We start from the raw sequence: 24254 nt of genomic DNA, 5'->3' as shown, positions 1-24254 counted from the left end.
GAATGCTTTCTTGGTAAGTGCTTAATTAGATTGGTTCCCCACGGCAGCATTTTATGAACTGAAGTGCATAGACACTTCAAGGGGCTATAAGAGGGAAAATATTCCATGGGTTAGAGATGGAGAGAGGAGCATCTAGAATTTTGCAACTGAGCTTTAGTGAGCTCTGTTTCACATTTGGATGTCAAGGATTTTAGAAAAGCAGATGTCTGCCTCACTGCTGTCTGTTTAACTGAAGGTTTACACTTGTGCTCTGAGATTGTTACTAAAACAGAAAGAGGAAGGAGAAGAAGAGGAGGACGAGGGGGAAGGAGAGAGAATGAGTGAGGAAGGAAGGAAGAAAGGCAGGGAGGAAGAAAGGAGGAGAAGAAGAAAAAAACAAAATGTCTATTGCAGTTGTCTTAGGCATTTAGTGAATTGTCAGTTTTTTTGCTTGGTCGTTTTTTGTGGCCCTGTTTCTGTCACTACCTTGCCTTTGTCTCCATTTCTAACCCCATGTTCACCCCTTGGATTTAATGGTAGATCCAGCTTTTCTGGTTCTGGCCTTGGGTGCCTCCAGGGCATTATTTGCCCCTATTCTCTCTAGCTTTTCCTAATTCTGGCCTTTGATGCCTCCTGATATATGCCCCCATTCTCTCTAGCTTTTTCTGCTCTTGGCCTCTCAGCCAGGTCTGCAATAACCCCTGTGCACCATTAATGGTTTAGAGAAAGGCTCTCTCTCTGGGTGGATGCAGCCTGTAGGTGCCTGATTTGGCAAGCAGCACATAAGCTCGTCTCCATCCCACCCTGCAGCTGGGTGCTCTTGTGCCTGGCACAGCTCATACCTGCATATTGCTGCCTTGGAACAACCCATGCAGCCAGCTCAAAACTTCATCCCTGGACTCCATCTGGCCATTGTCCCTGCTAGATTAGAGCTTGAGTCAGACAGTTTAAATAATTTTGAGGAATTCTCTCATTTTTTAAACTGATCCTTGTGGTACTTTTATGGCAGACGTAAAGTAGGCACACAATAAGTGCTCAACAAATAATTAATAATCTGCCTGCCTGAAATGCATAACCTATTTAGGGCAGATGAGGAAATGAGGCATAGAGGGGTTGCTTGAGCAATACTATGCAGCAAAAAATGTTTTTGTTTATCAACAGAAGACGCACTTAGGCAACTGAGAAGAGCAGGAAACATGTGGGTACATGATTGTCTTTTTTCTAATGAGAAGGGAGTAATTCTTCCTTTTCTCAAACTTGACGCTGTTCTTTGAAGGCAGTATGTTATTCTTAGATTAACAACCATGACACTCATAGGATTAGACGTGCAACTTCATGGTGAAAGAACTTTGGTGGCAAGAACAGGGGTACAGAATGCAACATTTGAACCAAGCCCAACAGTAAACAGAAACTAAGAACTAAAGTGGTTTGCCCACACAAAGATTGAATTTGTGCCAAGGGTTTTTCCAGTTCTCAGAGGTGCTTAAGTGTAAACCCAGAAAGTTACCTGACATGCTCACGTCCCTGTGTCTCCGTGATATGCTGAGACTGCAAAGTTTTGGTCTGGTCTGCTGCCCCTTTTTTCCATAGAGCTCTAGGCATCTCTTGCTAGACATAAAGCTCAGGGGCTGTTGAATCAAAGGTGGTCAAATGTAACAATGTGAGGCATCCATTCTAGAAAGTTTTGAATTCTAATTGAGAGAGTCAGGATGTTTCTAAACTTTTTCTTTTTCTTTTCCCTTTAGTGATCATTAGGTTAAGCTGTGACTGATCACAAGTAAAGACCTGGTGAAAAAGTGAACTTCTTGTTTGGACTAACAAGTTCTCTCAAATTCACACTAATTGTACATCCAATTAGAGGAGTTGATTGAAAAATACCAGTTCATGTTTATGTTTATATTTTTAAAGAACTTAGACTTGTAATACATTTATAAAACCATAAAATGCTAGAAGGACATACATATCAAATGTATAATTGTGTTTGTCTCTGAGAAGAAGAGATTGGAATAAGAATGGATATGGAAGTCAAAGAAGTTCTCAATGCTGTATTTCTTAATTTTAAACCCACTTAGAGCAAATATGAAAAAATATTAACAGCCACAGATTCTGGGTAGGAAAGCACAAGTTGTAAAATATATTTTCTCTGTTCTTTTTTTTTTTTGACTAGATGTTTGTTTTAAAGTATTTTATTGCTATTAAAAGAAAACAAAATACAAAAGAATTGGATGGAAAAGCAAAGGCTAATCTCTTTATTTCAGCCACTAATAATTGTGGTAATCCTGGGTGTTAATCCTTGAAGTCTTCATGGCATTGCTGTTTATCTGGTGGAAACTTATGACGCTTAGAATAGGCTGAGTAACCTGTAATATCTTGTGTTTGACCCAGGACACCACAGTCCCAGGCACAAAGTGGTTAATTTTTTTCTTTTTTCCCATTAATGATCATTAGGTTAAGCTGTGACTGATAACAAGTGAAGACCTAGTAAAATAGTGAACTTCTTTGGTTGGACCAACGAGTTCTATCAAACTCACACAAATTGTATATCCAATTAAAGAAGTTGATTGAAAAATGCCAGTTCATGTTTATGTTTGTATTTAAAAAAATCTTAGACTTGTATATACATTTAAAAAACCATAAAATGCTAGAAGGACATACATATGAAATGTATGCATTAATGTATATTAAATGTATGTCCTTCTGGCATTTTATGGTTTTGTAAATGTATACACAAATCTAAGTGATGGCAATGACATTTGTTCAGACCCCTCCAATAAGGTATTTGTATAAAGGTACTGTAATTTTCATACTTACTATGATAAGGATAAGGTTAAGCGAGTCAAAGGTCACTTTATAAAAAATCTAGCTGCTTTTTTACAATAATTTAAAGCTCTCCTGGAAACACTATACAAGGTTTAAACAATGAGTATTTAAACAATGAGCCCCTCTATGATGGACTGGGAAGCACCATGTGTCAAGAGGAGCATGGCAATGCTATTAACCATAGAAGCATCAATAAAATATGTGTATGTTGCCAATGAGGACCACATTTGGGTTGGTTCGTTTCTCTAAGATATCTGTCTAGCCGATTCATTGTCTCAGGACATTTTGTTGCCCAGGATGCAGTTTTCTCTTTCAAATACACATCCCTGATTTTTACTGAGAATATCTTCCAATGATATTTTCTTTGTCAGAAATTTTGCAAATAAAAGTAGAAAGAAAAAAGGGATTTGTGGAGAGAGAGTTCCAAGATGGCAGGTGATGGAGTTTATGGTGGCATATGTGCCCCAAACAAAACGCAGGCCTGGGAAGGGCCTGGACAGCTTTTCCTGGAAATAGGAGACTGGGAATGGGAGGGAGTGTGGATTCAACATGGACCATCTTTTCCAGTCCTTACACCACTCTGACGTTAGTAACTCTAAAGCATTGCATACGTTTGCCTTCAGGGCTAGCTGAGGGGGCTTCTTTCCTCTCTCCTTCAAGAAAGGAGAGAGGGAAGAGGGTCTCTTGCTTCTCTACTCCTAGCTTCTTGCTGATGGGAAACTTCAGAGTTTCCCATGAGAATCTAATGCCTTATGATCTGTCACTGTCTCCCATCACCCCCAGATGGGATCATGTAGTTGCAGGAAAACAAACTCAAGGCTCCCACTGATCCTACATTATGGTTAGTTGTGTAATTTTTTCATTGTATATTACAATATATTAATAGTAGAAATAAAGTGCACAATAAATGTAATGGGCTTGAATCAGCCCCAAATCATAACTTTCCCTCTCCTCGGCCCATGGGAAAGTTGTTTTCCATGAAACTGGTCTCTGGTACCAAAAAGGCTGGGGACCACTGGTGTAAATGCTTCTAAGAATAGATAAGCAACTTAAGGTTTACAGGGTACTAAAAATATGGGTTTAAATGCTAATAAAACTGGATGCACATGAAAACACTCTCTTGCTGTGGTCCAGTGAATCTTGACCATTCTATCACAGAGACTTGCAGCTTTGAGTTGGAGCTGCCCCCTGGACCTCCTGTCCACAGCACACCCCTGCAACACACACACACATGCACATACATACATGTGCACATACCTGCACACATACACACACATGCTGTGCTTCATGCCCTCACTAAGGTGGCATGGGAGGGAATGAGTGTTTTTAAGAGAAATGAAGACAACTCAGGCTTCTTGTTCTCCTGGTGTTTGCACAAGTGCCTTCTCTGCAGACCATGCTTCAATCTCTTTCTTGGCTTTCCCTGTTAGTGAAAGAGACAAGCAGAGCCCCAGCATGTATCTGACTGCTTAGGGTCCAACCCAAGCTCACAAGCTTCCTGGGGAGCCTAGTGAGATGAAGGCACTGCAGAGCCTCCCAAAAAGAGGCATCAGCTTTTGGTGGAGACTTGAGCCCGGGAAGGTGGGACATCATGGTTCATCAAAGACACAACCAAAATCCAGTGAGGAATGGCAGCCATCAAAAGTTTTATTCTTCAAGAGAAGGAGTTCTCAGGGGCTGTGGGCAGCAGGCACAGAGCTCTTTAGTGCATGTGTGGGCAGGTGATGGTGACCTACAGTTTGCACTGGGAACTAAGATCAAGAGTGACCTGACCTCTGCTCATGCGCATCTCTCCCTGTCTCTCTCTCTACCTTTTATGTCTCTCTCCTTATCTCTCTCCCCACACTCCCTCTCAGCCTCCTCTGTCTCTGTCTCTCTCCCCATCTCTCTTTCTCTCTCTCACTCCTTTCTTCCCATGTCTCTTTCTCTCTCCTTCTCCACTTCTCTCTCCCTCCTCCTCTCCCTCTCTGCCACTGTTCAGGCTCCTGCCCACCCCTCCCTGCTGTGCAGAGAGGCACACGCAGGACTCCTAGGCTACCTTCCAGGGCACACGCACAAGGCTGCCGGGACTTGGTCCCAGTACAGTGCCCCCACCTCCCAGTGCCCTCAAGGTCAGGGGTGTGGGGTGTGCTTGTGCTCTCTTGGGTGGGCACCCCACTCTCCAGGAAGCAGAAGCTGCAGGTCACTGCTGGCTTGAGTGGCACGCCTATTGGACTGCTGGCTTCCATCCTGTGATCTGCCGAGGCCAAAACAGAGGACACCTGCCAAGGCCCCACCCTGCTCCAGGGTTGGGGTAGAGGTAGGGGTAGTGGTGGGGATGAGAGCAGCCACTGCAATCTGGTCCCTGCCCAGCATCCTGCCCTGCACCCTGCCATGCAAGGCCTCCTCTGCCACCCTTTCCCTGCCCCTCACCATCTTCACCCCTAGAAAGCCCCAGGCACAGGCTCCAGAAATCTCCCTGGATCCAGGAACTAAGAGCAACCACTGGGCTCCACAGCCCCTAGGCCAGGTGTCAGCCACACCCACTGCATGCTGACAAATCTTGGCTCTCACTTATGCCCCCCCGCAAGCCAGCCACACTCTGCCCCCACTCCCCCCACTTCCTGACTTTAGCCCTGACTGACAGTGCTGCCTCCTGGTAACCTTTCCCCCTCCCCACAAGGTCCAGGCAAGCCCAAATGCCAGCACCCGCCACCCACCCTTCCTGGGTGCCCCTCTATTGTCTGCTTGCCTAGATGTCTTAACCTCATTTTACCAAGCTAGAACAAATAACAGGGATGAGCCCCCAGCCTCTCCCAGGAAGATTTGGCAAAATGCTCTCCTTTTAGAAGCAGGAGCAGTGACAGGACCTAGGGATGACCCGAGGCTTGTCACCCAAGCAACAAGAAGGGCAAGGAGCCCAGTTTTATGACCTCACCTTGGGAGGACATGGCCAGGGCTCCACAAGGCCCTGTGGGGGGCTGGCAGGAGAACAGATCCACTCTCCTTTTGAGGAAGCAGGCCCCAACCCTAGGAAGCAGCAGATGGGGGCACACAGGCAGAGCTTCCGCAAGCTGTAGATCAGGGTCAGCAGATCTGCATTCAGCTTTAGCCCCAGGGGAGCTGCAAGACGTGAGACACTGATAGGTTTGGCTCTGTGTCCCCACCCAAATCTCATTTTGAGCTGTAATCCCCATGTGTCAAGGGAGGAACCTCATGGGAGGTGATTGTATTATAGGGGGCTGGGTTCCCCCATGCTGTTCCCCTGATAGTGAGTGAGTTCTCAGGAGAGCAGATGGTTTTAAAGCATGGCACTTCCTCGTTTTCTCACTCCCTCCTGCTGCCTTGTGAAGAAGATGCCCGCTTCCCCTTCGCCTTCCACCATGATTGCAAGCTTTCTGAACTGTGAGTCAATTCAACCTCTTTCCTTGATAAATTACCCAGTCTCAGGTATTTCTTCATAGCAGTGTGAAAACAAAACAAACTAAGACAGACCCCTTCTCTGAGGTGCCTTCTTCTGAGGCCACCAGCTGCCCCCATGCTCCTCCTCTGCCCCCTGGTCTTTCTTTTCCCCTCATGAGGCCCAAGTGATCTGCATGGCCAGCCCCAGCCCCATCCTACTGCAGGCCTGTCTAGCTGGTGGAGAGGCCGACCTCCTTTCCTGACCCTCAGGCTGGCTGATATGCTCTCTGGATCCTGGAGGAAACTGATTGTCTCTCCTCATACTGGTAGCAACTTCTTCCAAGACCACAAAGCTGGAAAACTGGTCTTTTTGTTGTCTCCGCTTGCTAGGGCTGTAGTTGGGACAGTACTAGAGGTGGGCCAATGGATGAATGGATGGATGAGTGGGACAGTAGTCCAGGGAGGATGTCCCTGTCTGTCCAGTTTGCATCGGCTCCTGTGCAGTCACATAGCTCCCTGCTAGCTGAGTTGAAATTAAAACCCATTCAGTCTGGCTTCTATATGGCTCATGGGGCCTGTGGACTGGTCTCTCCTTTTCCCTCCAGACCCCATCCCCATTAAGTCCATGAGCAAATCATGTAGGTGACATCCTCACAATGATCCTGAGGTGACTCTACTCACCATCTGCCTTCTCCCACCTAGTTTGAGCACCCTTCATTACTTACCTGGACCAGCCAGCTGGCCCCCCTCTCCTCCCTGCTGGTGTGGTGTGGCCTGTTAACACCTGAGCCGCAGCTGAACCCACTTCTGGCTAGGACCCTCTGCTGGCTCCCTGGCTGCTCTGAGTGACAGCTAGAGCCTTGCAACAGCCTCAGCCATTGAACCTGGGACTTCTGTCCCTGAGCTCTCTGCTGCTTGCCTCTGCTCACACCAGGACAGATGCAGGCTTCCCCTCTGGGCCTCAGGCATGCCGGTCATGCTCCTGCCTCAGGGCCTTTGCATGAGCCATTCCCACTGCCTGGAATGCTCTCTGCCAAGATATCTGCTTGGGTGACCCACCACCTCCTGCAAACATTGCTCGAACCTTGCCTCGTCAATGAGGACTACAACCCCGGCCACGCATCTAGAAGGCATCCAGCACAGAGTATGTGCTCAATACACAGACAAAGCAGGACAATACATGAGACAACTGTCCCTCTCCCAGGCCCCTGGGAAATGCTGGGATGGGGAAGATATTCAGATGTCAAGAGGAATAGGGCCCAGTGTCTTGATTCTCATTCCAGTGCTCTTCCTGTTCACAGGAGTGGCAGGGCTGCACATTTGGAGCAAAACTGAGATGAGTTTCAAGGGCCGCTGAGCATCTTACCCACCCACAGCCTTTCCCAGTGTTCTGGGAGATAAACAGCTGTCTCCTATATTGTCCTGGATCCCTGGAGGATGGGCCAGGCTTGGAGGTGGAAGAAGAGCTCAGTGGGGAGGGGGCCGAGAAGGGGCTGCCCAGAGGTGACACATCTGGAGTCCCCAAATCTGCATCAGGGCAGATGAGTAGAGCTGCACTCTCCCAACCTGCTCATGTTGGCCTTTTGTGATCTTTCATTTTGCCCCATCCGCGTTGCCCTTAGGTATTCATTGCTACCTGTTATCACTGGAATAAAAATGGCCATGGGCATTCTGCCCTTCCTCCACCTCCCTCTTCTCCATCCCTTCTTTCTTCATCTGTGTATTGAGCACATACCCTGTGCTGGGCCCCTTCTAGATGCATGGCCAGGGTTGTCCTCATTGATGAAGCAAGGTTTGAGCAAGGTTTGTAGGAGGTGATGGGTCAGCCAAGCAGTTTTCTAGGCAGAGAGCATTCCAGGCAGCGGGAATGGCTTGTGCAAAGGCCCTGAGGCAGGAGCATGATTGGCATGCCTGAGGCCCAGAGGGGAAGCCTGCATCTGGCCTGGTGTGAGCTAGGGGAGAGCAGGAGATAGCTCAGGGAGAGAAGGCCCAGGTTCAATGACCTGAGGCCACTGCAAGGCTTCAGCTCTCCCTTGGAGCAGCTGGGGAGCCATTGAGCAGAGCAAGAGCCAAACTGAACGGGTTCCAATTTCAGCTTAGCTATCAGGGAGCTATGTGACTGCACCAGGTCCAGGCGGACCCACCTGTACATGAGTGACAGCACCCACAGGGTCCAGAGCTCACATGTCCATGGGTCCAGCTCAGTGCCTGGCATGCCGAGAATACTTGGGAAATGCCAACTAAGGACTCTCACCTCAGGAGGGTCTCTTCTCATTTCCAAAGCTGTCTCTTGCTTTGGAATGCACGCAGACACTGGGCAAGTATATATGGAGCTTTTAATCTCTGCCTGACACCAGAGACACATCCACAGACTGACCGAGTTTCCTGCCCTTGTGCTGCACTCCCCTTGAGGAGACAGACGACGGTGACATGCAAGGAGCTAAGATGTCAGGACACTGAGCTGTGAACGAGGCAAGCAGGGGCTGAGGGATGGAGGAGACAGGGTGGTGGCAGGTGGGGGTGGCCGGGATGGCTGGAGCCTGGGACCAAGGTAGGTTCCTGCACTGCTCTGCGTGGGGACCTAGCTGGGCTCTGAGTCATGAGGGCAGACAGTGGCCAGGGTGAGGCTGGCACTGTGCATCCCCTTCCCCACTGCTGAAGATGCCGCCTAGGGTGGGCTCACAGTCTTTGGGGAGTTAAGAACCATCCTGATCCTAGAGAAGGTTATTTCTGGAAGCAAAAATCCAGGGTTTATGCTCCTGGGACAGGGGATCCCTGGAGCCTCTCATCCTCCCCATAGCCTTTGCATTGGGCAGTGAAGGCGTTTTCCTGTTGAGTCTGAGGAAGGGAGAAGTGGTGTCACTTGGGGTGTCAGCTTTCATCTCACTTAGTCCTCACGGGGGCCTGCAAAGTAAGGGTCACCATCGGCCCAATTTACAGATGAGGACACTGAGGTTCAGAGAAGTTACATGATTTGCCCAAAGTGACACAGCTACTAAGTGGCTGAATGGGATTGAATCCAGGTCTTTCTGAGACAGCCCAAGCTGTTGATGGAGCCCTCTGGCTCACGGATGAGCAGGTAAAGTGAAACAAACACTTTAGAAAGCTTACCTGAGGGTGAGGGGGCAGGCAATTGAGCCTTCTGTGGGGTCCGAAATGTTTACAGTTGTCTCTCTGCGTACGTCGGGAATCAGTTTCACCACCTCCCACAAATACCAAAATCCACAGATGCTCCAGTCTTGATATAAAATGGTACAGTATTTGCATATAACCTAAGCACATCTTCCCATATGCTTTAAATCATCTCTAGATTACTTACCTATGCAATCATGTGTCAGATAGCAACATTTCAGTCCGTGCCAGAATGCATATAGAATGGTGGTCCCATAAGGTTATAATGGAGCTGCCCTATACAGGTGTACCATCTCTAAAAATTGATATCTAAAAAGAGATGGGGTCTTTTTATGTTGCCCAGACTAGTCTAGAACTTCTGGGCTCAAGTGATCCTCCCGGCATGGTCTCTCAAAGTGCTGGGATTATAGGCATGAACCACTACATCTGGCCAGGTGTACCAATTTTTTTTTTTTTTTATCATTTATACTGTATTTTTATCATTCTTTTCTGTGTTTAGATACACAAATAGCCATCATTGTGTTACCACTACCTATGGTACTCAGTATGGTAACATGCTGCAGAGGTTTGGAGCCCAGGAGCAATCAGCTCTACCATTCAGCCAAGGTGTGTGTTTGGTTGCAACCTCTGAAGGAAGCTAAGGAGGAATGACCTAAAGACAGAAGGTGAGTCCGAGGTGGGATCCTGGGACAGGTACCAGAAGTTAAGCAAAAACAGGTGAAATCTGAATGAATTTCACCATATTAATATAGTGACAGCATTAATAACCTTAAATAATAGTTAACATTATTATTCAGTTAACAGGATTGCACCCATGTTAAATTCCTTAATTTTTTTTTTAAGAGAGAAAGTCTCATTCTGTCGCCCAGGCTGGAATGCAGTGGTGCGATCATAGCTCACTGCTTCCTGGATCTCTTGGGCTCAAGCGATCCTCCTGCTTCAGCCTCCTGATTAGGTGGGACTATAGGCACACGCCACCATGCCTGGCTCCTTATTTTTTTTTTTTTTTTTTTTTAACTTTTCTCCAGGGATAGGGTCTACCTATGTTGCCCAGGCTGGTCTCAAACTCCAGGACTCAAATGAACCTTAACCTCCTGCCTTGGCCTCTCAAACTGCTGGGATTACAGGTGTGAGCCACCACACCTGGCCTAAATTTCTTAATTTGGACAAATGTGCCATGGTAATGCAAAATGTCATTATTAGGGGCAGCTGGACGGAAGGTGTCGGAGTACACTATAATGCCTTTTCAGTTTTTCTATATATCTAAAATCATTTCAAAAGTAAACATTTATTTTAAAACATGGACGTGGTTATCCTTCCATGAGTGTAAAGTACAAAAGGCAGGCTCATGGTGTTGTCAGAAGTCAGAACACTGGTTGCAGGGCTGGGGGCGCAGAGGCTGGGTTGGCTTTGTGATCTGGGGGCTGATGTGTTCCATCTGTTAATGTCTTTAGAGCTGTGCACTTTCTTCATAAATTTTCATAAGTTTAACAAAAAAGTAAAACGAGGATGGGAAGCTTGTTTGGGTTGTGGGGCCTCGGGAGTGTACTGCTGCTTGTCCCTAGCTGTGAATGGGGTGCCCTGGTCGGAAGCAGTGCTGTGTGCACTGCAGGGCCGGCAAGTGCATGTCCACGTTGTGGCTCAGTGCAGTGAAAGCCAATCTCAGCCCCTTCCGCAGTGTGGTCAGCCTGCCAGTAGGTGGCCAGCTGGTCCTTCTGGGAAATGGTGCCATCCCAGGGGTTGGGTGTGAATCTGTTTTCCACAGACAAGGCGCTCAGCAGTGGTGTCAGCCTGGTGAGCCTTGGTAAGGGCATGTGCAGGATGCTGAGCCTCTCCCGTCCCCATGCCCGTCTCATGGCCACTTGCTCTGCGGGCCCATCCAGCAAGCATGGTGGCTGGGAAAGAAGCCGGCTCCATCCACAGGGCATGCTGTTTTGCCCACCTCAGGACCAAGAGTATTCTCTGTAGTAATTCTCTTTGGTGGGAGCACTGGGAACATGAACAACAGATACCTTCAGAGTCTGAGCTGCTGAGGTGAGGGCTGCAGGGTGCCCTGCTGTCAGGAGAGCCTGCACTGGCAGCTGGAAGGCACGTGGTGGTGGCACCTGCTGTGGCTGCAGCAGTGGCTGCAAGGCTTCGAGATCTCTCCCCGGTTCTGTAAGGTGAATTGTGACAATGCAGAGCTCTGCAGTGCCAGGGTCCCCTGCATGGTCATGCTGACTGCAGCTGGGAGCCCACCACAGCCCTGGTACCCCTCTCTTCCCAGGGCTGGGGTCTAGGCCAGGCCACTCTTGGCCTGGGTATTGTGCCCCAGGTCCATACTGCTGGCTGTCTGGGGCTGCAGGGATGCCGTGCTCACGTCTCTCTCTTGTGGCCTTGATGGGACCAGCTTCCCCATTGAATGGGATCTTCCAAGGTATCTGGGGCTGCGGGGAAGCTGGTGGGTGCCACCCTGGTTCCTTCCAGATACAGGTGCCCATGTTGCAGTGGGGGTATCTCCTGATCTCCTTCTTAGTCCTGATGGGCCTGGGCAGGGCCTGGTGTCGAGGTCCCCATGGGCTTCCTGGGCTAGGTCTGTCCCATGGTCCCAGGGCTGTCCAGGACACATTTGGAGGGGACACGGGCCCAACAGCCCTGTTCGAAATCATAATGGGGAAACCAAGGGCTCACCACGTCCGAGTCCATTGGGAGCTGAGGCAGGGAGTTCCACTGCAGGTACCTCCAGGAAACCCGAGGTCCTCCCTGAGCTGGGGCCAGTCTGGGCACACCCTGGGATAGCCCCACCAAGACAGGACAGGGTGTGAAAGGAAGAGGCACCCATGGCGGGGAAGCTGACCAAATGCACTGCTGGAAGTGGGCTTGTGGGCCTGGAGGAGCCTGCCTACTCCCCTTGCAGAGGGTCTTCCTGCCACACGGTGAAGCCAGCTCAGGCCTGGGTGCTGAGGACCCTTGCTTAGGTTTGGCTGAAAGGAAAACAGATATGGTCAGCATCTCCAGTGAGCCCATGCAGATCTTTCCGGGTCAGGCCCCACCTGCCTGGGTCTCTAGAGTCCTCAGGGTCTCTGTGTGGCCCCCGTGGCCTGACAGGACACGCCTGTAGGCTGCTGATCCCAGAGGGAGGGAGTGTGTGCCGCCTGGGGTGGGAAAGCTGTATGGGCATGGGAGGTGGCTCCTGGGACTGCCTTCTGGGACTGCCTCCCAGGGTTCAGGCTGGCTGGGGGCTTCCTGCCTTACCACCCTCATCCCAGGGCTGTTGGGCCTGGGATACAGTCCCTAGTCAGAACTCAGGTGGGAGGGGCCTTGGTTGTCACCCAGCCCCCTTGTCACCTCACATGGGGACCTATCTCCACAGTGGGTGAGAGGACCCGGACACAGGGCCCTTTCTGCCCTCCTGGGCTGCCCAGTCCATGCCGGGACTGACTGTTCCCACAGCTGGCTGAACTCTTGGCTCTGGCTCTGGGCCAGGGGTCCCACCCGTGCCCTCTCCCTGAATGCTCTGGGAGTCAGGGACACCAATTCCCTTGTCTCCCTGGCTCGAGACTTGTTTTTCTGGCACCCTTGGAAGGGTGTGCAGGAGTGAGGGTCCTCTGCTGCTCTCTGAGTCTGTCAGTGCTTGCAGGGAGGGGCGGGGGCTCCCCCAAATAGGCCTGGCTCTTCCAATGCCCTTGAGGGCCATTTGAGGGGGAGGGCAGGACAATGGAAAGTGGGAGGGGGTTTGTTGGAGGGTCTTGCCCACATCCCCCTCCTGTGTGCACAGCACTGAGTACCAGTACACACGCACTGAGCGCCTGCCCTGAGGACCGGTGGGCCTCCTGCACTTACTTAGCATCCAGGAGGAAGAGGAGGAAGAAAAGATGTAAGAGGAAGGCCCAGGTTTGGGGTCACAGGCACTCCCCCACTATTGACTGCCCCAGAAGGTGACTTGGTGGGGGGACTGGGTATTGGAGCCTTCCTGGGGGTGGCAGGTCCCCATGCTTCCTGGTAGTTTCCTTACAGAGCACAGAGGCCTGAAGGTGCCTAAGAACTGCATCACTGTCCAGGGCCCAGGTTTGGGGGAACTGGTCCTGAAAACGCGCCCACAGGCCAGACCTGGAAGCCTTCATGAGGTGCTCTAGGGACAGGGTGAGGATCAGGCCAGGAAAGTTCCCTGGGAGGCGTCAGAGCCGACACCCCATTGCCACCTCTGTCGTCTCCCACTGGGTGGTGCCGGATCATTTTGTGGCCACAACAGGGGTGCAGATGTGCACAGGAGGCTGTGGTTTGGGGGAGGCCTGGGCAGGGAAGTGCTTGCCACACTCCCGACTTTCATCTGGGTCACGTGCGGGATGGGCTCGGCATCACTGTGCCCTGCCCTGCTCACCAGGCCAGACCTTCTTCTGGGCTGGAGCAGAGAAACATGGGGACAGTGTGAGGAAGCTGCCCTTGGGCCAGTCGGGGTCTGACCCCAGAGCTTCCCAGGCCCCACTGGGCACACGTGGACTTACTCCTCTGAACCTTGAAGGCAGTGCGTGCCATTGGCATCAACACCTGTTCCTTTCTACCAAATACACCCTCCACAGGCTTAGGGTGAGCCCGAGAGAGATCTGTGGGGACACAGGTGTGGGAGGCCCTGGCTCGTCCAGGCTGGAGGCTGGTGGCTGGATCTGGGCCCACTGGGGCTTCAGTCCCCCAGAGTCAGTGACCCTCCCCATGAGGGTCATCTGACCCCTCCAGGAGGCTGGGTCTGGCTTCCCTGAGCCCTCCCAAGTTAGGTCCTGGGTCAGTCTATCCATGAGGCTGGGCCTGAGCCCTGGCCTCTGCTGGGGGATGACCCCTCTTGGGCAGAGGGCCTTGCTTGTGTGTCCTACAGGGACCTGCCTGAGCCTCCTGTGGGCTGGGGGTGAGCCAGACCCCTGGGCTGGGGAAGTAGAGCACTGCAGGGCAAGGAGGGTCCCTGAGCCACGGTCTCCCTGTGCCTCCTTATCCCATTGATCACCCTCTGTAGAAGCCAAGCTAATGAGGAACCTTGAGCACATAGCCCTTCCGTGTCCCGACAGGAGGAACAGAGGTGCTCAGGGCCCCCTAGCCTGCCCTAAAAACCTCCTTCTTCTAGGGCCCTCTGAAGACCCTTCCCCAAGTGCAGAGTACTGGGTGGTGTCCAGGGCTCCCCACAACACCTTCCCCCTTCCTGCATTCCCAGTGGACACACTGCCCTCAGCCCTGCTCTGCAGGAGCTGGGCCCCTGTCCCTGTGCCTCTGTCTCCTCCAGGGCAGGAAAGGAAACCCAACTCCCAGTACATGGAGAACCCCACGTCCCAGGTCAGGCCCTGGCTGGGACTCAGCCTCTCACCAGCCCCACGAGGGGCTCCAGCACCCCCGACTCCTCTGGCCCCATGGGATGCTGGGCCTCTAGGGAAGAGTCGAGGGGACCATAAACTCACCAAGTGCCTCATGGTCTTGGGGTGTGACGTGGGTACCACATGCTCCTGGTGGTCTTGGAGCCCCTGGACCCCTGTGCCATTTGGGCTGTGGAATCCTGAGAAGCCTCCAGCCCATCATGAAATCAGAGCCTGTTCCCAAGATGTGGAACTGTCGGCTGGAATTGCTGGGCAGCTGCAAAGGCCCATGAACACCGGGCCTCCCACCCTCCCACCTGGTGACCCCACCATGCGGCCTTGGCCCTGGGGAAGAGGGATGGGAACATCCTCTGGAGCCTGGCCGGAGGTGCTCCTGGAGGCCTCCTGGGCCCGGGTGCTAGGAAGGCAAGGCTGACTTTGAGGCCATGACAGAGGGCGGGAAGAACTGGGTGGGTGCTGGGTTTCGTGGTCGTCTCCTGGAAGTGGGGTCGGGCCAGGGTACATGGGAAGGGGAGATGCTGCCATCTGGGCTTCATCGACCCATCTGTGGGCACCAAGGGCAGCTGGAGCCTGGCCAGCAGGAGGGCAGGAGGACTCTCACGGAGGGGACAGTCAGTTGCACAGAATCAGAGCCAGAGGGTGTGGCTCCAGGCCACAGAGGGCAGCCACGGGGGGATAAGATGTCCTCTGTTGATGGAGATAAAAGGCGTCTCATTTGGGGCCTGGGGGTACCTGTGTAGCCCTGGGGGTATCCGTTCAGTCCTGGGCTTCTGTGGGGCCCTCAGCAGAGACATTCTAAAGGCTCCAGATAAGTTGGCGACACAGGAAGGTGCCTTCACTAAAAGTGGAGGTCACCTGGCCAGGGTGGCTGAGAAAAATCAGCCCGAGACGGGACAGGTGCCACCCAGGGTGGGTAGCCGGGCCCTGACAGGAGTCCCTCAGGGAGTGACCACATCACCCTGCTGAGGTTTAGGGATCCTGGCCTGAGACTTGCCTGGTGTACCCAGGGTGCATCCAGGGCCCATCCCACCCGACATTCCCAAGCCCTCACAGGGTCTGACCTCCCGGCATCCACCTGCCTCTCCCTGCACTCCAGCCACCCACCCTGCTTGTTCCCCAATTTCTGCCATCCTGTCAACCCAGAGATGGTGAATGTTTCCCCAGCCACCCTGGCCCTTCTTTGATCCTTGTCCTGTCAGAACCCCCGAGTGATACTCCCCAGATCTGTTCACATGCCTGCCTTGTCTGCTCTCTCATTGGGCTGCCGATGGCTGCTGGGGAGATGCCAAGGGTGACATGGGTGACCGAGGACCCCACAGATGGCCAGGATGGCTTCCCTGCCCCACCTCCAGCCTCACCTGGCTCTTGGAGCCCTTGGCTGTCAGCCCTCAGCCTCCTCCCAGACACTGCAGCAGCTGGGATTGGGGCGCCTGACTGTCCTCTCCCACTGTCCCGCCTGCCTTAAGTCAGTCTCCCCCATCACTTTCTGCACACCGTGCTGTCCAAGCCAACTGGAAGCAGAGTCTCTGGAAAGCCACGCAGAGCCTTGGGGACTGACCGGCTCCCTCTGCTGGGACTCTGCTGACGAGTCCCAGGTGAGTTGGTGTTTTTGGCTCCACCCCTTCTGTCATCCTCACCAGACCATCGGCTCCTTTGGGGTGCATTTCAGAAGTGGCACAGCCCATAAGCTCACTCCCACCCCACCTTCCCTGGGATCCTCTGTTTCTCTATCCTATGACCCCCGAGGGATCAGCTCCAGGCTGGGCTCCTACCTGGCCCCAGATTCCTTCCCAGCACCAGATCCAGGGCCTTTAGCCACAAGCTCTGCTGCTTCCCTGGTCTCACCGTGAGACGCCCAGAACATGGCCCTACCCATCTTCTCCCCCATTCCCCCAGGGCCACAGCCCTCATTCTCCCCATGCCCTTCCCCATGGGGAATGGGGAAGAAGACAGGCAGGTGGGCCCTCAGAGATCTGCCGGACAACTGCCCCCAGGCTGGGCCAAGCATCCCCTCACCCTGTGGCCACAACCCTTGGATCTCAGAAAGTGGACAGGGCCAGACCCTCAGGCTGCCCCCCTCCTCTTGTGCTAACTTGGAGACAGAACTGCTGAGAGCCCAGGGGCCTGACCTAGCCCTCTCTCCATTCCCACCCGCTCCCTAGATGAACCACGCTCCCTAGATGGGCCACGCACCTCTGGCCTAACAACGACCATGGGCTGGACCTGCAGGGGTGCCAGGGAGGAGTTCTGGCCCTGAAAAGGAGGTTGGCTGGAGCCAGGTAGACACATCTTGCCTCAGAAAGGCCTTTCTAAGGGCAAAACCCATCCCTGAGCTGAGATTGGTGCTTTAAGGGATGAGGACTCACTGCAGAATCCCAAGGCGATCAGTGCCTTTGTAGATGTCAGCATAGTGAGGCCCCATGTCCGCTGGCAGCCCAGCTGGGCATCCCTGCAACTCAGAGGGAGCCAGGGTGAGGGGTCCAAGATAAAGGGTGCATGTGTTGCTTCTCTGGCCAGATCCGGCTGCCCTACTCATGTGTGCAGCCAGTTCCTCATCACTCTCACTCCTGGGTCCCAGGGCCAGCATCAGAGCCTCTGTGGGTGCTCCCTAACTTCAGCCCTCCCCACCCAGCATGGTGGAGTGGAGAGGCAAAAAGTTGAGGGTTGAAGGCAGAGGACAGAGGGCAGTGAATGGTTAACGCCTGAGCCACAGCTGAGCCTTCCTCTACCCAGGACCCTCTGCTGGCTCTCCATCTCCTCTGAGTGACAGCTAGAGCCTTGCAACGGCCTCAGGTCATTGAACCTGGGCCTTCTTCTTCCCCTGAGCTGTCTGCCGCTCTCCCCTGCTCACACCAGACCAGACCAGATGCAGACTTCCCCTCTGGGCCTCAAGCATGCCAATCACGCTCCTGCCTCAGGGCCTTTGCAATTTTCTGTGGTTCTCTCAGAAAGCCAGACATAGAGGAGGGAAGATGGGCTTCAGAAACAGACAGATCTGGGTTCAAATCCAAGCTCTGCATTGTCTGGGTAAAGTAATTGATCACCATGAGCTCCAGTTTCTTCATGCACAAAATAAGGATATTAATACTTGTGTTGAGCTATCTTGAGCATTAACCAAGAAAACACGTATAAAGTGCTCACAGCAGGGCCTGGCATGAGGGAGGGACTGATAATGTGTCTCCTTTGCTAAGAGATCGTTAATTGGATGCATGGTTTAAATTAGTTCCATGTAAATATAATAAGCTTCTCTCATCAAACCAAATTTTTGTTGAGTTGCTTCTGGTGAATCTAGTGTCAGAGCCTGTCTTGTGAGTGCTTCTAAAGGAAACACTAGAAGCTGCTTGTGTAATATCATGAGATGAACACTAGAGGCTGCCAGAACAGACGACATGATTGCGTTTTTGATCTCTACATTCTGTTCTTTCTTGTACAGAAACTATTTTTTTTATTTATTAGAGACAGGGTCTCGCTCCATTGCCCAGGCTGGAGTGTAGTGGCTTGATCATGGCTCCTTGAGCTCAGTCACTGCAGCCTTGAGCTCTTAGGCTCAAGCCATCCTCCTGCCTCAGCCTTCTGAGTAGCTGGGACTACAGGCATGCACCACCACACCCAGCAAATTTTTTATTTTTTAATTTTTTGTAGAGGCAGGATCTTGTCAGCAAACTTCATTTAATAGGCAGTCAAGTTCCCCAATTAGGAAAACTAGGATTTTTTTTTTTTTTTGTAAAGCAGTATCTGCCACACACCAAAGTAAATTCCTGATGGATAGCAGCATTAAGTATAAAAAATACAACCATAAAATAGATGAAAATAAAGCAAATAGTTGTCTGATTTGGGGATGGAGGAGAACTTTTGAAACAAAACACTAGGAAAAAAAGATTTCCCTACATAGAAAGAAATTTCTGTGCGTAAAAATATAGACACAACTAAAAGAAAGTGATACACCCTGGGACAAATTTTGCAACATGTGTGAGTGACACAACGAAAAGTTAATATACCTGGCATAATAAAATAAGTTCATATAAGTAAGGTGGGAAAGATGGGTAGCTAATTAGAATGAGCAGATAATTTCTAAAAAGGAAATAACAGTGGCCTATAAAAATATGCAATGATAATTACTAAGTACAAATAAATACTATAATGAGACTTCATAATTGGCCTACCCAATTGACAAAGAGATTTTAAAAATAACAACTAATATTGGCGAAGGCACTGTGAAGTGAACACAAATGAGGACAATTTTTCTGGAGAGTAATTAAAAAAATAATTTCAACTTTTCTTTTGGATTCAGGGGGTATACGTGTAGGTTTGCTACCTGGGTATATATGCTGAGGTTTGTGGTACAATTGATCTCATCATCCAGATAGTGAGCATAGTAACCAATAGTTAGTTTTTCTACCCTTGCTCCTCTCCTTCCCTTTCCCCTCTCATAGTCTCCAGTGTCTATTGTTGCCATATTTACGTCCATGTGAATTCACTGTTTAGCTCCCACTTGTAAGTGAGAACACATGGTATTTAGCTTTCTGTTCTTGTATTAATTCACTTAGGATAATGGCCTCCAGCTGCATCCATGTTGCTGCAAATGACATGATTTTTTTTTTTATGGCCAGGTAGTATTCCATGGTGTATGTGTGCCACATTTTCCTTACATAGTCCACTGCTGATGGGCATTTAGGCTGATTCTATGTCTTTGCTATTGTGAATAGTGCTGCAATGAACATATAAGTGGATGTGTGTTTTTTTGGTAGAACGATTTATTTTCTTTTGGATGTATACCCAGTGATATAATTTGGATCTGTGTTCCTGCCCAAATCTCATGTTCAGTTGTTAATTCCCAGCGTTGCAGGTGGGTCCTGGTGGGAGGTGATTGGATCACAGGGGTGATTTCTGATGAATGGTTTAGCACTAGCCCCCTTGGTTGTGATAGTGAGTGAGTTCTTGTGAGATCTGGTCATTTAAAAGTGTGTAGCATCTCCCCACTCTCTCTCTTCCTCCTGCCCTGGCCATGTGAAGTGCCAGCTACCCTTTGCCTGCTGCCATGATTGTAAGTTTTCTGAGGCCTCCCCAGAACCTGAGAAGATGCCTGCATCATGCTTCCTGTATAGCTTATGAAACTGTGAGCCAATTAATCCTCTTTTCTTTCTAAATTACCCAGTCTCAGGCATTTCTTCATAGTAGTGCAAGAACAGACTAATACACCCAGTAATGGGATTGCTGGGTTGAATGGTAGTTCTATTTGAAGTTCTTTGAGAAATCTCTAAACTGCGTTCCACAGTGGCTGAACTAATTTACATTCCCACCAACAGTGTATAAGCGGTCCCTTTTCTCTACACCCTCACCAACATCTGTTGTTTTTTGACTTTTTAATAATTGCCATTCTGACTGGTGTGAGATGGTATCTTACTGTGGTTTTGATTTGCATTTCTCTGATGATTAATGATGTGGAGCATTTTTTCACATGTTTGTTGACCACTCGCATGTCTTCTTTTGAGAAGTGTCTGTTCATGTCTTTTGCCCACTTTTTAACAGGGTCATTTGTTTTTTCCTTGTTGAATTGTTTAAGTTTTTCATAGATTCTGGATATTAGATCTTTTTTGGATGCATAGTTTGTGGATATTTTCTTCCATTCTATAGGTTATCTGTTTACTCTGTTGATAGTTTCTTTTACTGTGCTGAAGCTCTTTCATTTAAATAGATCCCACTTGTCAATTTTTGTTTTTGTTGCATTTGTTTTTGAGAACTTAGTAATGCATTTTTTCCCAAGACTAGTGTTCAGAATGATGTTTCCTAGTTTTTCTTCTAGGATTCTTATAGTTTGAGGCCTTACATTTAAATCTTTAATCCATCTTGAGTTAATTTTTCTATATGGTGAAATACAGAGGTTGTTTAATTCTTCTGCATATGGCTAGCCAGTTATCCCAGCACCATTTATTGAATCGGGAGTCCTTTCCCCAATGCTTATTTTTGTTAACTTTGTCAAAGATCAGGTGGCTGTAGGTGAGCAGCTTTATTTCCGGATTCTCTATTCTGTTCCATTGTATATGTCTGTTTTTGTACCAGTACCATGCTGTTTTGGTTACTGTAGCTTTACACTATAGTTTGAAATTGGGTAACGTGATACCTTCCACTTTGTTCTTTCTGCTTAGGATTGCATTGGCTCTTTGGGATCTTTTCTGGTTCCATATGAAATTTAGAATAGTTTTTTCAAATTCTGTTAAAAATGATGTTGGTAGTTTGATAGTGTTGATTCTGGAGCCATGTTGCAACAGATACTGTATACTTACATCATTTTATATATATCTTGATATATCCCTGTCGTAAACTCTTAGAATATAAATTATTGGATCAATTAGTTTTTGCATTGGTAATTTTGATGGATATTGCCATAAAGGTTGTACCAATTTACACTCCCATCAGCAATGTGTGAGACTATCTGTCTCTTCACTCCTTATTACATAATGTGTTATCAAAATATATGACCTTGCAAATCTGGTAACAGATAGGATTTTGGAATTGTTTTAATCTGCTTTTCTGTTATTGTGAATGCAACTAAGCAATATTTCATATGCTCAAATGCTATTCATATTCCCTCTTCCATGAATTATCTTTTCATCTCCATTGTCAATTTTTCTACTCGGTTGCTGGTCTTTCTCTTTGATTGATGGAAATCCTTTGTTAAATAGAAAATGAAAGCAAGCTTTGTCTATGAGTTACTTGTATTGTTCCCAGGTTTTCATTTGCCTTTGACACTGTATTCAAATAATAATAATAATAAAATGTTTACATTATAAATTTCATACCTACACACTGCAAATTTCTAAAAAATACAAAAAAGAGAAGAAAATAAAAATCATTTATCATGCCACAATAAATACATTTACTGCTAATACTTTAGTTTTCCTTTTAGTGTTTTTTCAAATATCTGCATGTAAATATTTATATTAATGTAGATAAGTATCCATAAAGATATATACATATATAAATATATAATAACATATATTAGTTACAAATTTCAAAATTCATGTTCTAAGATATGTTAAAAATATATAACTTTATTTTCCTCTGAGACTGTTTAAACTTATTTCAAACCCTCATTCCACCTTATGGGGGAAAAAAATAAAAGTCAGTTCTATGTAAACACAGAAATCATTCAGGATTTCTCCCTCCCAACCTTCATCTGGAGGAGGTGTCTGAGCTTTGAGGGGTGTTATGTTTGAATCAAATGGAAATTTCATAGCCTTCAAGAGGCTGGCAACAGGTTCATGGTGGGAATTTGCTGAAATATACATGGTTCTCTCTTACTCTTGGCCCTATCATCCCTCTCATGGCATCAACCAAGATATTAGAGTTCTTTTAGTCCACAAAAGAACTACATCCTCTACGTCTACATCCTCTCATTACCCCATCCAGGCGGCTAGATGGACCTGGTCATCTGACCACCCACTCTCCTGCATTGCAAAAGTCTACTTTGAATTGTATAAGCTAAGCATTGACCTAAGTCATTCTCTCTGCATTTCTACAGTAATAACCCTACCCTGGGGGCAGTAAATATAAAAAGTCCCTACTGCTGCCCAATTTGTGTGGAAAGACCAACAGTGAAATAAATTGCAGAAGAAAAATAACACCACCATGAGGACTTCAAGTCCTCATCATGACATGTACATTTACACAATTGAAATCATAGTGTATAATTTGAGTTGCACACTGAATGTTGTACTTAATCTGAGTAAATGCTCATGAGTATATGAATTGTTAAATATAAAAGTATGATAATTTATATTTTCAAGTTGTTCAAACAACCAAGTGTTCAATATGTATACATTTATATTTACTCATTTAATCAAAACAGCTCTACGACACTGCTACTATTATTATCCTAATTTCTGTTTTATAGATGAAGAAATTCAGGTACACAGGGGTTAAGTAATTATGGGAGCAGCGAGGGGGTGGGTGAGAGGCAGGAGAACTGAATGGTGAGACATTGGAAGATGAGGAAGACTTTCTACTCTTTTGTACCTTTTATCCTGGGAATGCTTGACCTCTTATTAAAATAAATAAATATGTAAAAGGATGTGTCGGCCGGGTGCAGTGGCTCACGCCTGTAATCCCAGCACTTCGGGAGGCCGAGGCGGGCAGATCACTTGAGGTCAGGAGATCCAGACCAGCCTGTGCGACATGGCGAAACCCTGTCTCTACTAAAAATACAGCAATTAGCTGGGCTTGTTGGTGCGTGCCTGTAATCCCAGGTACTTGGGAGGCTAAGTCAGGAGCATCGTTTGAGCCCAGGAGGCGGAAGTTGCCATGAGCCAAGATCAAGCTACTGCGCTCCAGCCTGGGCAGCAGAGTGAGACTCCATCTCAAAAAAACAAACAAACAAACAAAAAAGGACACGTCTGCCATAGACATTGCTGTATTATACTCACTCAGAGGTGCCCATCTGTGGATGTGGTATGGTGGAAGAAACAGTGGACCAGGAGGGAGAACATCTGGGCCATGGGTCCAATCTACCACGGATGTGTCATCTCTGGGCCTTGGTATCATCTTCTGTAAAACACAAGTGCTTGGCAGTGATGGTCATGATAGGATTAGATTATATCAGTGTTTCCTAATGTAACCCAAGTTACCTGAGAAAGTTTAAAATATATAGCTTCTCAAGCTCTCATAAGCACACATTCTGATTTATCATAAGGACTGGAATACAGTTTGGGAATCTGTATTTTTCAAAAGGCCCCCTTTTAGGCAATTCTGATATAAAACCCTGGACCAGATGATGTTTCAGGGGTTCCTCCCAGCTCTAAAATTCCATATCCTGTGAAGTATTGAGTATCATATCAGATCCAAGTAACTCATTCATCATTTACCCTCCCGACTCCCACCCTGTCCTTAGTTCTTCTAGCCCTTCTTAGAGGCTGTCTTACTTCTAGCCCATCTTACAAAGAAAGGGAAATGAAAAGGGAAGGACTAGATCCCTTGATCCAGATCCTTACTCCCATCCCTCCTTCCATTCCCACCCCACCCCTATCTTCTGTCCTCTACCCCTACTAGATGTTGTATTCCAGCTCCAGGGCTGCCATGGGCACTCCAAGAGGAGAACAAGGTACCAAAGTCCAAGAAAGAGACAGAAATTTTGACCCATCTCAAAATTTACACATGGACCTGAACCATCTGTAGATTTTAGACTCCTTGCAAAGGCATTTTATTCCTTGGGATGACACTCTGGGTATTTTGTATTCTAATTTCTCCTTCTGCCAGATGGTCTATAAGGTTCGAACTCTTAAAAAAAGTGCGTTACATTCCCATTTTAATGTAGCATTTTGGATATTTACTGATCTCCTTCCTGCTTTCTTCTTTCTTTTCTTCTTTCCTTTCTTCCTCCCCTTCTCCTCTTCTTCCTCCTCCTGCATCTCTTCCTTCCCCGGTCAAGGAAAGGCCTGGGGCTGGAGTGGGGGTGGGTAGAGGGTTCTGATCTCAGTTCTTCCCACCTATTTAGAGAGAAGTGCGAATATTCAGCTCACCTTGCCGCCGAGACAGACCATGCCTTACCAGCTTCTTGCAGCTTTACGATGAGTCTCTCTCGGTTTCACAGGGCAGTTATTACTCATGACT

General features: G+C 48.6%; 1 pseudogene, besides 1 other annotated feature; it reads right to left on the bottom strand.

The window, feature by feature from the left end:
• Positions 10415 to 10984: an enhancer, noted in NCBI's record as "H3K4me1 hESC enhancer chr17:39485793-39486362 (GRCh37/hg19 assembly coordinates)". NCBI's record gives its function as "activates a minimal SCP1, AML or CMV promoter by ChIP-STARR-seq in primed H9 embryonic stem cells {active_cell/tissue: H9 hESC(primed)}" and the evidence as "EXISTENCE:reporter gene assay evidence [ECO:0000049][PMID:30033119]".
• On the bottom strand, positions 10980 to 17098 carry TBC1D3P7 (TBC1 domain family member 3 pseudogene 7; annotated as a pseudogene).

The sequence above is a fragment of the Homo sapiens genome, chromosome 17 (assembly GCF_000001405.40).
Source record: "Homo sapiens chromosome 17, GRCh38.p14 Primary Assembly".
NCBI classification, from domain to species: Eukaryota; Metazoa; Chordata; class Mammalia; order Primates; family Hominidae; genus Homo; species Homo sapiens.
The sequence above is the reverse complement of the archived record's forward strand: the minus strand, read 5'-3'. Positions and strand labels throughout refer to the sequence as shown.